This window comes from Homo sapiens, chromosome 20, assembly GCF_000001405.40.
Source record: "Homo sapiens chromosome 20, GRCh38.p14 Primary Assembly".
In the NCBI taxonomy this organism is placed as follows: Eukaryota; Metazoa; Chordata; class Mammalia; order Primates; family Hominidae; genus Homo; species Homo sapiens.
In genome coordinates, this window is record NC_000020.11 from 32493500 (window position 1) to 32508401 (window position 14902).

The window sequence follows — 14902 nt, forward strand, 5'->3', positions numbered from 1 at the left end:
GCAGGTGACTTGACTCTCCAAGCCTTGGTTTCCTCATCTCTAAAATGAGGAAACAACAGCAGGGACTTGTTTTTGAAGGTTGCAGTGAGGCCTAAATGCAGCGATAGCTGAAGAGGCCTGGACTGGTGCTGGGCACAGAGCACCGCCCGAACCATAGTTATGGATAGTGATGGTACTACGAAAACTAAGTAATAACTCAGTCATCAGTCCACACGCATTTATTGAGCCCCTACTATGCTCCAAGGCCCGGTCCAGGTGCAGGGACTGCAGTGGTGAGATAAGCACACCTGGGTCTGTCCATGTGGAGCCGATGGTGCTGGTGCTGCTGCGGCCTCAGCTTGTCCCTACCCTGACTGTTGCTTTCTTTTTCCTTTCTCTTTCCCCACCCCTTCCCTTGAGAAATAACAGCATTAAGATTGGAGAGACTAGGGCTCTCTTTCTTACTAATTCTGTGACTTCAGACAAATTACTGGCTAGGCGCAGTGGCTCATGCCTATAATCCCAGCACTTTGGGAGGCCAAGGCAGGTGGATCACCTGAGGTCAGGAGTTCAAGACCAGTCTGACCAACATGGTGAAACCTGGTCTCTACTAAAAATACAAAAATTAGCTGGGTGTGGTGGCACATGCCTGTAATCCTAGCTACTTGGGAGGCTGAGACAGGAGAATCATTTGAACCCAGGAGGTGGAGCTTGCAGTGAGCTGAGATCATGCCACTGCACTCCAGCCTGGGCCACAGAGTGAGATAATCTCGGGAAAAAAAAAAAAAAAAAAAAAAAAAAAAACACACAACACACACACACACACAAACAAATTACTTAAGCTCTCTAAAGCCGAGCCTCAGTTTCCCTGTGTGCTGAGGAACTGAGTTCTGTGTCTGGGGGTACCCAGCACACAGAAGGCCCCCAACAATTGCTGTTCCTGCTCCCCTGCCTACCTCCCTCTCCTCTCTTCTTCCTCCCCACTTTCCCCGTTTCCTTTCTTTTCCATTCTTTTTCTCTGCCCAAGCCTTCGGCATCTTAACACCCAAAGTGATTGTCAAAGTTTAGTTGATGGTGCCCAGGCTGTGGCAGAGACTGTGAACCAGTTTTCTTGATATTATGCCCTGAATCAACATTCTCCCTTATCTTTTTCAACCACAGAGGGTAGAAACATGAAATTCTTTCTTTCCCAGCCTCCCTTACAACTGGGAACCACGTGACCCTTTTGCAGCAATGAGACATCAACACAATGCCTCGAATGTGGACAAGGTTGGAGCAATAGCAGGCAACTTGCAACCATGAGGAAAAGCCTCAATAACATCACAGAGACACCAACCCAACATTGCAAATGGCACCAGCGGCGGCTCCTCCATTCTTCTTGTTTTAGGAGTAAAATAACTTCATGTTTTGCTATAGTCAACTGGGTTTGGGGGCCTGTAGTCAAAAGCATTCCTGGCTTATTCACATGGCTCCTGTCCGCGGGTGGACTAGATGGCAAGGATCCCCCACTCCCATGTGGCCTTTTCTCTTTCAAGAGGACACAGGAGCCTCTTGACTCTTTGAAGAGGACACAGGGGTGCTACGCTACGTCCAGGCACCTGCTGTGCGTACTGTGGTGCCTGGGGAGCAGACAAGCATTTAGTTCCCTCACTTGTGGACTCTGAAGGAGGGAAAACTGTCACGGCTGCAGCACAAGTGTGCCTGGGCACTTCCTCAGCCACAGGAGTATCCCAGTTAAAGAACATCTTCTGTTTCTATCTTATCTCTTGAGGTATTTAGAGCCATTCTAAATGCCAGAGCCTTAGAATGACCATGGGGCTGGCAGGGCATGGGCTCTGTGACTCATATCTGTCGAGGAGGCTGCTTGTGGTTGTGCTGGATCGAGCCCCTCTCCTTGACTATCTTCGGCACCGCAAGCCAAAGCTCAGGGCTGCCCGGGCCTATTCCTGAGGTGGTGCAGGAGAGGCAGATGGGCTGCTGGGGACGAAAGGGGTAGGTAGGCGGGCTCTGGGCTCCGTGCCCAGCATTGCCAGCAACATGCCTGTCTGCTGCTGACCCCTGACCCACTCAACTTCCTCCCCAGAAGACAGTCCCTTGAAGAAAGGGGTTCCTCCATCAAAATGTAAAATTTGAAAGCCACAGATGTCTGACCCAAACCTGCTGATCTAGTAACAGGGAAGCTGCAGCATGAAGAAGTTAGATGGCTGGGGCGCAGTGGCTCACGTCCCAGCACTTTGGGGAGGCTGAGGTGGGGGAATGCTTAAGCCCAGGAGTTCAAGACCAGCCTGGGCAACATGGCGAGACCCCATCCCTACAAAAAATACAAACATTAGCTGGGCGCGGTGTTGAGCACCTGTGGTCCCAGCTACTCAGGAGGCTGAGGTGGGAGAATTGCTTGAGCTCAGGAGGTCAAGGCTGCAGTGAGCTGTGATCATATCACTGCACCCCAATAAAAGAAGTTAGATGACTCGTGGGGCAGAGGCACACCTAGAACCAGAGTCGCTGGACTCCCTCTCAGGTGCTCATCTCCACTTTCGACCTGAGACAGGCCCAGGTCCCTGCCCTGCTTCCCTCTGGCAGAGAAAGATCACCACTAGGCTTCACATCACAACACATGTGCACCCGGCTGGCAGGCCCTGGGAGAGCTGCCTTTGAAGACGGCTCCCAGGCATAGCTCCCCCTTACTCCTCTATCTGAGCCCCACTGCTGTTCCTACCCCAGGGTCTTTGCATGTGCTGTCTCCTGTGCCTGGAAAGCCCTCCCACTTCATCTCTGCAGGGCTGGCCACTTCTCACCATTCAGGCCTTGGCTCGGATGCTGCCTCTTCAGAGAGGCCTTCTTGCCCTGAGGCACAGTCTGTCATCTTACTCTATTTTAATTATCTACCCCAAATTTCCTCCTTTTGCATATTTTTTTATATTGCCTTGTTTATCATCTCCAGGCCTGTGAGCTCCTAGGGATGGGTACCTTATCTGTCTCATTCACTGTGGTATCTTCCGTGCTTGGAATGACCTCCAGCATGTAGTAGGAACCTCGGAAATGATTTTTGAGTGAAGGAAGGAAGAAATTTCTTTCTTTCTTTTTTTTTTTTGAGAGAGTTTCACTCTTGTTGCCCAAGCTGGAGTACAGTGGCATGATCTCAGCTCACTGCAACCTCTGCCTCCCAGGTTCAAGTGATTCTTCTGCCTCAGCCTCCCGAGTAGCTGGAACTACAGGTGCCTGCCACCACAGCTGGCTAATTTTTTGTATTTTTAGTAGAGACAGGGTTTCATCATGTTGGCCGGGCTGGTCTCGAACTGACCTCAGGTGATCCACCCGCCTCAGCCTCCCAAAAAGTGCTGGGATTACAGGCATGAACCACCACACCTGGCCTAGGAAATTTCTTTAAAACTACATAATGCTGTGTTGCAGGGAGGACAAGGGTCTGGTCGGCCGTGAGCAGCAGCTGTGCTGTGTGCCTCTCAGTCTGAATAGGGGTCGGGGAGCTACCCGCCTGCCGGGATCCACACCCAGTCACCCCGAGCAAAACAAAGCAGACAGCACAAATTCACAAAGCAATACTGTGCCCTCCTACCCTCAAAAAAAAAAAAAAAAAAAAAGCCCGATAATGAGGTAAACACAATCATGACCAGGAAAAAGCTTGGCCATGCTTCTTCCAGTCCACCCAAAGCCATTATCTCTAATTGATCTCCAGACATCAGCTGCTGAAGCGTCTGAAACCCTCCTGCACCCTCCAGGTCTGGTTACAAAGCCCTGGCCCACCCACCCGCCCCATGGAGTCAGGTCTCCTGGAGCTGCTCTTTGCTGGGGGTGACAGGGCCTATCTGGGCCCCACATGAAAAGGACCCATCAGGCTGACAAGAGTCAGGGTGGGTCAAGAACCTGTGTAAAAGTCACAACCACTAAATGCTCAGCTGCCAGGGGGCTGAGCTGCCTGAGTTTCAGTGCCTTAAGTAGAAGGCTTGACAAAGCCATCAGGGGTCCCGCATTCAAAATAAAAAGCAAGGAAAACCAGGGACGGCTGCAGAAAAGCACCCTGCCCAAAATATCCCACTAGTTCTGGGTGAAAGAGGCACCCAAAAGCTGGAGTGAGGAGTTTAGTTGCAAAACGGAACGGGACTTAGCCACAAGATCACGAATCCCTTCTGGGTCTTGGTTAGGCTGTGGCGGTCACAAGGGCAGCCATCAGTACAGGGACCATCTGGATGTTTTGAGCTGCTCCTTCCTGGCCCAGCCCAGGAAAGACGTCTCCTTTCCTGTTAGGTCTCTCTTGTCCTTAGAAACAGACCGGAGTCAGCTCCCTGGGCTGCCTGGCAGGGGTGTTTTACTGCCAGAGCTCTGACAGGACAGAGCCACTTCCCCCCTTCATTCATGGACGCCCAGGTAGCAGCTCCTGACCTGTGCAAGCTTTTCCCTTGACACACACAAAGCGTCCCGAGGCCAGCCCTGCATGCAGTATTGCTGCTTATGGCACCAGGCAGCTCTCCTGCTTGCACCAGTAAATTACGAGTGCTTCCTGCATTTTTTCCCCCAGATAATAAAGTTGAAAGGCCACCTTGGCATTCTCGCATTTGTAGGGGTGGAGGTCTGCAGCCCGGAAGGGGCTCGAGCCTCAAGGAGCTGCTGGGGACAATGAGCTGTTCAGGTTCGGGGTATCTGCCAACCCCACCAGACACTGGCTCTCCAGACAGGGTGGTGGCTGTTTTCCACTTTCCCACACAGCTTCAGGGAAGTGAGAGGAAAGAAAAGACACAGACCTCTCCCAGCTCAGGTTGCCCTCACAAAACAGAGGAAATGCTCATTTTCTGTGAGAATTTGGAAATTGTAGTAAGTTTCTAGAAAGCACCCCAGGATGTTCAAGAACATATACTGATTGCAAAAATAATGTCCCATAACAAAAGATGTTTGACAATGAGCTTTTCACGCCTCTCTCTGTTCTCTTAAAAAAAAAAAAAGCTTTCTGATAAATCATTCCCTCTCAAGTTTAGAAATGCCCTATTTTCACAGGGCATGGTGGCTCATGCCTGTCATTCCAGCACTTTAGGAGGCCAAAGTGGGAGGATCGCTTGAGCCCAGGAGTTCAAGACCAGCCTGGGCAACACGTGAAGCCCCATCTCTATAAAAAGTGCAAAAAATTAGCCAGGTGTGGTGGTGTGTGCCTGTAGTTCCAGCTACTCGGGAGGCTGAGGTGGGAGGATCACTAGAGCCTGGGAAGTCGAGGCTGCATTGAGCTGTGATTGCACCACTGCACTCTACCCTGGGCAACGGGAGTGAGACCCTGTCTCAATAAAAAAAAAAAAAAAAAAAAAGAAATGCACTATTTTCTTTGGGAGGCCCAGAAGTTCAAGATCAGCCTGGGCAACAAAGTGAAGCACTGTTTCTACTTAAAAAATTTTTGTGTTTGTTTGTTTTTGAGGCAGAGTCTTGGTCTTGCTCTGTTGCCTAGGCTGGAGTGCAGTGGTGCAATCTCAGCTCACTGCAACCTCTGCTTCCCAGGTTCAAGTGATTCTCCTGCCTCAACCTCCTGAGTACCTGGGATTACAGGCTCCTGCCACCACGCCAGCTAATTTTTGTATTTTTAGTAGAGACGGGGCTTCACCATGTTGGTCAGGCTGGTCTCAAACTCCTGGCCTTGTGATCTGCCCACCTTGGCCTCCCAAAGTGCTGGGATTACAGGCGTGAGCCACTGCTCCTGGCCAAAAAAAATTTTTTTTTAAATAAATGCCCTATTTTGCATGATACCATTTTAGGAGGATGGGGAATGCTGTGCTGTCCATGTTTAGAGCCCCCCGATCCTGACACTGGGCTCATGGTGCTCCTGGTTCTCAGTCCACCTCTGTTTGTCAGTGAACAAAGAGGCCTGGGATAAAGTGTCTTCACATAATGCTCATGTGGTCAGATCAGTGGTGCTGCTGCAGTATTTTTCCTCCACCAAAAAGCGGATACAAACATTTTTAGGCATTAAAGAAACAATTTTTGGCTGGGTGTGGTGGCTCATGCCTGTAATCCCAGCACTTTGGGAGGCTGAGGCAGGCAGATCACTTGAGGCCAGGAGTTTCAGACCAGCTTGGCCAACATGGTGAAACCCCATCTCTACTAAAAATGCAAAAATTAGCCGGGCATGGTGGCAGGCATCTGTAGTCCCAGCTACTCAGTCAGCTGAGGCAGGAGAATTGCTTGAACCTGGGCAGCGGAGGTTGTAGTGAGCCAAGATTTTGCGACTGCACTCTAGCCTGGGCAACAGAGGGAGACCTTGTCTCAAAAAAAAAAAAAAAAAAAAAAGGAACAATTATTTTTTTCAAAGTAATGCCTTTTTTCAAGCCAGCAAAACTTTTAAAAAGAAAGCCAACAAAAGAGGAACAATTCCTACTAGATATTAAAACATATGATAAAGTTTTCACACTTAAAACAGTTTGGTAGCTGCTACATGAATAGTCAAGGAGCCCAGTGGACCAAACAGAAGTAGATTCTGTTTTGGATGGAAACTTAGTAAGTTTTAAAGGTGTCATCTCAAATCAGTGGGGGAAAATGGAGTATTTAACAAATGATGCTGAGACAAAAGGGTTAAGCGGAATCTGTATCTCAGAATACGTCAGCATAAGCTCCAAATGGATCAAAGATTAAATATAAAAAATGAAAATAAAAACATGTATGCTTTTTGCTCTGTCAGCTGGAAGAGCCTGCAAGAAAGGATACTTCAGTACCAATGGGCACACATAGTGCCCAGATCTTGTTTTTTTGTTTTGTTTTATACAAAATATATAGAGATGAGGTTTGCCCAGGCTGGTCTTGAACTCCTGAACTCAAGAGACCCTTCTGCCTTGGCCTCCCAAAGTGTTGGGATAATGGGTGTAAGCCACCATGCCCAGCCAGATTTTTTTTTTTTTTTTTTTGAGACGGAGTCTTGCTTTCTTGCCCAGGCTGGAGTGCAGTGGCACAATCTCGGCTCATTGCAAGCTCCGCCTCCCGGGTTCATGCCATTCTTCTGCCTCAGCCTCCCAAGTAGCTGGGAGTACAGGCGCCTGCCACCACGCCCAGCTAATTTTTTTGTATTTCTTTCTTTTTTTTTTTTTTTTTTACTAGAGACATGGTTTCATCGTGTTAGCCAGGATGGTCTCGATCCGATATTTTGGTTTTTAATATGGTTTTCCAATAAAAGGAATCAGAGCTCCTTGGAGAAATCACTGATTCCAGGATTGGGGCAGGAAATATGCAAGATGAGCCTGGAGTCTTACAGTGCCAGAAAGCAAAGAAGCACTAAAAAACAAGAAACGAACAAACAAAAACCCCAAACACCAATGAGGTATGGCAAAAGAGCACAGGAAACAACTGAAAAAGCTCCAATGGCCAAAGCTAGAACAATTTGTACAACAAAATGAAGAAGTATTGAATGATCATCAAAGCATAAAATAAACAGCTATGAGTCTCGACTTCTATAAATGGCTGAATAAATTAATAAGTGGGGGAGGAGAAACAAATCTCCTATGCATAAGCAATCTAAATAATTTACGTTGATAATTCACCCTAAAAAAGGCAGAACATGACTCCCCACTCTTCAGGTGTGGGCTGCACACGGTGCCTTCCTTCCCAAGTGCACAGTGTGGAAAGAGGGAAAAGTCACTTGACAGGAGAGAAACCTGACAACCAATATCTCAACCAGGTGTGATCAAGGCCAATGGCAACAGTCCTAAATCATGTTGATATTATGGACCCTTAACAGGATGTGATGAAAATGACACTCCATGTCTGTGGTCTTCCTCCTAATAACCCATAACCCCGGTTTTATATAGAGAAAAATGTCAAATTTCTAAATCCTACAAAATACACAACTAGTACTCTTCGAAACTGTCAAGGTTATCAAAAACAAGGAAAGTCTGAGAAACTGTCAAAGCCCAAAGAAGACTAAAGGGACATGACAATTAAATGGAATTAAATGTTACAATGAAAATTAAATGTTGTATCCTGGATGAAATCTTGGAACAGAAAAGGAAATTAGGTAAAAGCTAAAGGAATCTAAATAAACTGTAGACTTTACTTACAATAATGTATCAGTGTGGTTCATTAGTGGTAACAAATGTATCACCTTAATATAAGACATTGATAATACGGGAAACTGTGTGTCGAGGAGTGGGCAATGTGGATACTCTGTACTATCTTCCCAATTTTTCTGTAAAGTTAAAACTGTTCTCAAAAATAGTCTATCAAAAAAAAAATGAAAACATAAAAATACTAAAAGAAAACATGGGGGATGGAGTGGAGTTAGCCTTTTTAAGACTCAAATGCAGAAGCGATTTGAAGAAAAAATTGATACATCTGAGTACATAAAAATAAAAATGACAACACACACAGCATAGGCAATATCAAAAGAGAGAGAGCTACGGATGGGGAAAAGGAGGCAATGACTAACTCTGGGGAATCCGAAGAAAGGAAATGTAAGGAAATGTAATCATAGCATATGTTAATTGGGTCAGCTATGAGTAATATGCACACAGTCATAATAATATAAACAATGAATAGCAATTTATCTAAATAGAGAGGTATAGATATGTTGCAGGATGGAGGAAGGAGAAATAATAAGTGTATTTATGAGAGGGTGTAAGAGTGCAAATACTTATTTCCTACAGCAAGAAATTAACAACAACAAAAGCCCCAATTGAAAAATCAAGAACTTATAGTATAAGCAGGTTATTCCAAAATAGGAGTTAAATACCAGAAGAGACAGCTAAAACATAAGAAAGAAAAGAGGCTGTCCCTAGGGAGTAGAAATTGAAGTGGGGAGGCTGGGGCAGGGTCTGCTATTTTTCTATATGATTTTAAAAAATGTATTCTAGAGGCCGGGTGTGGTGGCTCATGCCTGTAATCCCAGCACTTTGGGAGGCCGAGGCAGGCGGATCACCTGAGGTCAGGAGTTCAAGATCAGCCTGGCCAACAGGGTGAAACCCCGTCTCTACTGAAAGTACAAAAATTAGCTGGGTTTGGTGGCAGGCGCCTGTAATTCCAGTTACTCAGGAGGCTGAGGCAAGAGAAATGCCTGAATCCGGGAGGCGGAGGCTGCAGTGAGGATCACGCCACTACACTCCAGCCTAGGTGACGGTGAGACTCCATCTCAAAAAAAAAAAGTATTCTATCTATAAAAATAAAAATAATGCAGGCCGGGTGTGGTGGCTCACCCCTGTAATCCCAGCACTTTGGGAAGCCGAGGCGGGTGGATCACCTGAGGTCAGGAGTTCGAGACCAGCCTGGCCAACATGGTGAAACCCCGTCTCTACTAAAAATACAAAAATTAGCCGGGAGTGGTGGCCGGGGCCTGTAATCCCAGCTACTCGGGAGGCTGAGGCAGGAGAATCTCTTGAACTTGAGAGCAGAGGTTGCAACGAGCCGAGATCACATCATTGCACTCCAGCCTGGGCAGCAAGAGCAAAACTCCATCTCAAAATAAAAAATAAACATAAAAAATAAATAAATGCAAAGAAATCAAAACAAGTTAAAAAAGGGTAAAGGGCCACCCAGAAGTGATTTCTGTAGGTGAGCTGCCCTGGGATTGCGGTGGAAGGTCTGGGGGCACAAGGTAGAAGCTCACAGCGGCTTCTCCAACTGTATGTCCTCTCACAGCAGAAATGCTCCAAGGATTGTCCTCTGCCTAGAGAAATCCCAACAGCAGCCTTGGTCAAGGACAGTATTTCAGCTGCTTTTGTTTTCTTGCTGCAGCATAAACCTTCCACAGGGCCAGAAATTTACTGAGACAGGATGAAGGTTTGGGCTATAGATTCTCAGATACTGAAAATGTGGTCGATGGCATTTCAGGCCTTTCCCGTGCTCTCATGGTGGCAGGTTAGGCCCCTGCAGCTCAGCTACACAACAAGAGGAGGTAATAGATGGAGCAAAGGAAAGAAGCCAGAAGCGGACAAGCAAGGCTGGGAGTAGTGAAGACAGTTGGTGGGATGGGTAGAAGCTCGGGAGGCTGGGAACTGAGAGGGAAGTGGTGGCCTCAGTGGGAGAGCCCCATGGGGAGAGAATGAGGCAGACTAAAATCTAGGCAGCCAAAGCAGCAGACCCCATATCCTCACAAATGCCACAGGGTCTACCCCACTTATTGGTCCATGCACATTTTCAGGAGCAGACACAGATGCTCAAAGTTTGAACAGTCTAGAGAAATGGCTATTCCAAGACAGTAGCAAAATCTGCAAATGGTGAAAAGAGAGTGGAGACGGCAAAGATATGCTGAGAGCTAGAAAGATTCTGCCTCTTACAGCAAAGCTTAACAGCCCTCCTCACCTCCCCAATGGCAGACCTCCAAGGTCTGGAGTGTCACTGGGAAACTGTCTTTGATCATCATAAAATATCACACTTTGCCCTACTTAATGCTTTTTTTTTGCCTTGAACATTTATTTAACATTAATAGCACTACTCCCTCTTTTTTAATTTTCCTTTTTGTGTCATTTTGATAAATGTCTTTTGTAAATACCCAATGCCATTTAAGAAGGCCCATCTGAGCTTTTTATGATACTGTGTAATGAAATTTAACCCATTCACATTTTTTATATTTAGTAGTTTGGTGTTGTTTGTATTATGTTACTTTATGTAATTTATTATATACATTTATCATATTCCTTTATATTTATTTTATATGTATACATAAATCTCTTTTTTGTGGTTTCTTCGTTTAGTCCCCATGTAATCACTCTTGCTGGACTGATTAAGTTTTCTGTGTTTCTTTTATTCACTCTACTGGTTTAGAAGTTCTACATTCTATTTCTAGTCCATGGAGATTACTCTTTAACTTTAAAGAAACATCTCAGAGGCCGGGCGTGGTGGCTCACGCCTGTAATCCCAGCACTTTGGGAGGCTGAGGTGGGTAGATCACGAGGTCAGTAGATCGAGACCATCCTGGCTAACACAGTGAAACCCTGTCTCTAATAAAAATACAAAAAATTAGCCAGGTGTCATGGCGGGCGCCTGTAGTCCCAGCTACTCGGGAGGCTGAGGCAGGAGAATGGTGTGTACCCAGGAGATGGAGCTTGCAGTGAGCCAAGATCGTGCCACTGCACTCCAGCCTGGGTGACAGAGTGAGACTCCATCAAAAAAAAAAAAAGAAAGAAAGAAAGAAAAAAACATCTCAAAACCTCTGCAGCTGCTTTTTTTTTTTTGACTGAGTCTTGCTCTGTCGCCAGGCTGGAGTGAAGTGGCATGATCTCTGCTCACTGCAACCTCTGCCTCCCAGGTTCAAGTGATTCTCCTGCCTCAGCCTCTGAGTAGCTGGGACTACAAGCACGTGCCACCATGCCCAGCTAATTTTTGTATTTTTAGAAATGGAGTTTCCTCATGTTGGCCAGGATGGTCTCGATCTCTTGACCTTGTGATACACTCGCTTCAGCCTCCCAAAGTGCTGGGATTACAGGCGTGAGCCACTGCACCGGCCACCTCTGCTTCTTTAAGAGACCATCAAAGGTCACACACATTGAGCCACAGCAGGAGACAAGGCCATGTTTCCATTCTGCTATTACTCCTCTGAACTCCCAGTTCACCTGGGCTGCAGGGCAGCCTGAGGAAGGAAAGAAGGGAATCATCACTGCTATCAGGCTCCTAAACATGGAGCCTAAGTCAGTTAGACTTAAACAGGTTGTCTAAGTCAGTACTCTTGGGTTCTCCATGGTAAGAACCCCATGAGTCAGCACTGTTTGAGTAAGTGACAGTCTCTCACAGTAACCCATTAACACTCCTTCTCCTTTGTGTCTGCCCATATTTTGGGGGTCTTTCTGGGCAGGGGGGAGATTGAGAGGGTTCATAAGAAAGAGAAAAGATAATGATTAAAAAGTAAATGTAGTTAGCCAAAAAAGTGGAAACAACCCAAATGTCCATGAACAGATAAATGCAGTAAACAAAATGTGGTTAATACAAATACAATAAACAAAATGTATGGTTAATACAATGAAATATTATTGTCATAAAAAGGAATAAAGTTGGTCAGGCGCAATAGCACACATGCCTGTAATCCCAGCACTTTGGGAGGCTGAGATGGGCAGATCGCTTGAGTTCCAGACCAGCCCAGACAACATGGCGAAACCACATCTCTACAAAAAAAAATACAAAAATTAGCTAGATGTGGTGGTGCTCACCTGTGGTCTCAGATACTCAGGAGGCTGAGGTGGGCAGATTGAGCCCGGGAGGGCAAGGCTGCAGTGAACTGTGATCGTGTCACTGCACTCCAGCCTGGGTGACAGAGTGAGACCCTGTCTCAAAAAACTAACAAAAAGGAATAAAGTTCTGACACATGCTACCACATGGATGAACCTTGAAGACATGATGCACAAAAGGACAAAAGGACATCTGATTCCACTGACATGAGGTGCCTAAAAGAGCCAACTGCACAGAGAGAAAGCAGAATAGAGGTTACCAGGGCTGGGGGAGGGGAGGAAGGGGAATTATTGCTTAATGGGTACAGAGTTTCTGTTTCGGGTGATGAAAAAATTTTGGAAATAGATAGTTGGTGATGGTTGTGCAACATTGTGAATATACTCAATGCCACTCAATTATATACTTAAACGTGGTTAAAATGGCACATTTTAGGTTTTATATATTTATCACAGTTTTCTTAAAAAAATGAATGTGGAGAGTTTTTCAGGGTGGGCTTGTTTCCTTCTCCATTTAGGGGGATGGAAGCCTGAGAAAGTTCCTGCTGGAAATCTGAACCTTGATCCCTAGTGCTGACTGAGGAAGCGCTCTCTCCTGGGCCTGGCTTCCAAGGAGGGGGCTTCCTCGGAGTCCTGGCCTCCTTCTCCTCTGTTCCCCAAACTGGCTCCAGCCTCCCCTGGCCCCAGGTCCTGCTCCAGCTGTTACCTCTCAGCTTCCCTCACCCAGGCCCTCTCTGCTTGCCCAAGCCAGGCATTTTAAAAATAAGCCAGGCCCGGCACGGTGGCTCACACTTGTAATCCCAGCACTTTGGGAGGCCGAGGAGGGCGGATCACCTGAGGTCAGGAGTTCAAGACCAGCCTGACCAACATGGAGAAACCCCATCTCTACTAAAAATACAAAATTAGCCGGGCGTGGTGGTGCGTGCCTGTAATCTCAGCTATTCAGGAGGCTGAGGCAGGAGCACCGCTTGAACCCAGGAGGCAGAGGTTGCAGTGAGCCGAGATCGCGCCATTGCACTCCAGCCTGGGCAACAAGAGCAAAACTCCATCTCCAAATAAATAAATAAATAAGCCAGTGCCTCTGAACTTCCTGGCACTAGCCCCTTCTGTTTTCTGTCCCAGGTGACAGCTCTGTGGCTGCTGTTTTGTCCCCTCTACTAAGAAGAGCTCACTGTCTGTGAAGGGGTCTGCTCCTCCTCACCTGCCCTCCAGGACCCAAGGAAAATTCTGGGCCAGGACAGAACAGTAGAGGAGAGGGAGGCAGAGGTTAATGGGGGCAAGCTAGAACCTCCATCACGTGGGCTCAGACAATGGAGCTGCACCACTTCACACACTGCTGTGAGGACCATTAAAACCATTAGCGGGACATTAGCTCTGCTCCAGGAACTGCAGAGAGGGAGGCAAGGGAGGTGCCCACAGTCCTCCAGAGGTGAGCCCTGAGCCTCTCTGGGCCTCGGCTTCCTCTGGGTGGGAGAAGGAGCACAGTTGTCTCTCTGCTTCCACAGCTAATTTCTACAAGGGGCCTGAAATCTTCCTTCCCTGCCCCTTCCAAGAAGATGGCTCAGTCCTCTGTGCAACTAAATACAATTTCCATTTTATATCTTTTTAAGAGTATTCCCAAATAAAAAAACTCTTTGATCAGACCACACTCCACTATTTTCTGCTCAGTGTGGCCACTTTGATGACAGCTCTTGGGGTCTGTGTCTTAGGCTGGAGGTGCCGAGAGGGTGGAGTCTAACCCCCATAGCGGTGCCTTGTACATTGAGGACACTATAAATATTGGGTGCACTGAACCAGACTTCAAGAAGAATCTTTCTTCTTTCTGTGAATCTTGTTATTGAATTTTCATATTATCTAATACCCTCTGCAGAGAAGGACTCATTTTCTAGCATATTAATCTGATACAACTGGCCTACAAGTAACATGATTCTGTCCAGCCCTCAAGAAAATCCCACCACCTGCATTTTGATCAAAGCAAAGTGAGGGAAAATGTTCTCCTTATCTTACCATTTGTCTCTTGGATACGTGATGTTGGAAATAAACAGATTATTGAGATTTTTTCTTACCCAAAGTTTTCAGATATAGAGCTTTGTTCAGCATTAATAAAATATTTATCCTGGCCGGGCACAGTGGCTCATGCCTGTAATCCCAGCACTTTGGGAGGCTAAGGCAGGTGGATCATGAGGTCAGGAGTTCGAGATCAGCCTGGCCAACAGAGTGAACCATGTCTCTACTAAAAATACAAAAAAAAAGTAGCCAGGCCTAGTGGCGGCCTCCTGTAATCCCAGCTACTCGGGAGGTAGAGGCAGGAGAAATGCTCGAACCTGGGAAGTGGAGGTTGCAGTGAGCCGAGATCGCACCACTGCATTCCAGCCAGGGTGACGGTGTGAGACTACATCTCAAAATAAATAAATAAAATAAAATAAAACAAAATATTTATCCTGGTTACCGGTTACTTTAGAATTGGATTTATTTTCCATGTAACCTGCATTAGAAATTTGCAAACACTACAGATGTCCTCTTTTGGCATTTTGTGGTCAGAGTGATGAAATGAAACCACTCTCAAAGCCTTGTCTTGGGACATCGGATTTGACAGCAGCCGAACCTGTCCTGCGGCTGTGTTTGGATGGTGGGGAGTCATTCGCCCACCCTGGCCTGCCTTTGCTGCACAGGAAATAAGCTAGTAATTCAAGTATATGTATTTTTAGTTCTAACTCAAGCTGAAGAATCAAAGACTGCTGGGTCCTTGGCCCTTCCTTGATGCTGCAGATAAATAATCTGGTGAGCCATGT

The 14902-nt window shown here is 46.6% G+C and overlaps 1 protein-coding gene across 1 annotated transcript in view, besides 3 other annotated features; it reads right to left on the reverse strand.

Moving 5' to 3' along the window:
• Positions 1–14902, reverse strand: part of NOL4L (nucleolar protein 4 like) — a 142275-nt gene that overhangs the window by 50441 nt on the left and 76932 nt on the right. The window lies entirely within an intron of this gene.
• Positions 3446–3962: an enhancer, noted in NCBI's record as "H3K27ac-H3K4me1 hESC enhancer chr20:31084748-31085264 (GRCh37/hg19 assembly coordinates)". NCBI's record gives its function as "activates a minimal SCP1, AML or CMV promoter by ChIP-STARR-seq in primed H9 embryonic stem cells {active_cell/tissue: H9 hESC(primed)}" and the evidence as "EXISTENCE:reporter gene assay evidence [ECO:0000049][PMID:30033119]".
• Positions 12402–13084: an enhancer, noted in NCBI's record as "H3K27ac-H3K4me1 hESC enhancer chr20:31093704-31094386 (GRCh37/hg19 assembly coordinates)". NCBI's record gives its function as "activates a minimal SCP1, AML or CMV promoter by ChIP-STARR-seq in primed H9 embryonic stem cells {active_cell/tissue: H9 hESC(primed)}" and the evidence as "EXISTENCE:reporter gene assay evidence [ECO:0000049][PMID:30033119]".
• Positions 13085–13766: an enhancer, noted in NCBI's record as "OCT4-NANOG-H3K27ac-H3K4me1 hESC enhancer chr20:31094387-31095068 (GRCh37/hg19 assembly coordinates)". NCBI's record gives its function as "activates a minimal SCP1, AML or CMV promoter by ChIP-STARR-seq in naive and primed H9 embryonic stem cells {active_cell/tissue: H9 hESC(naive and primed)}" and the evidence as "EXISTENCE:reporter gene assay evidence [ECO:0000049][PMID:30033119]".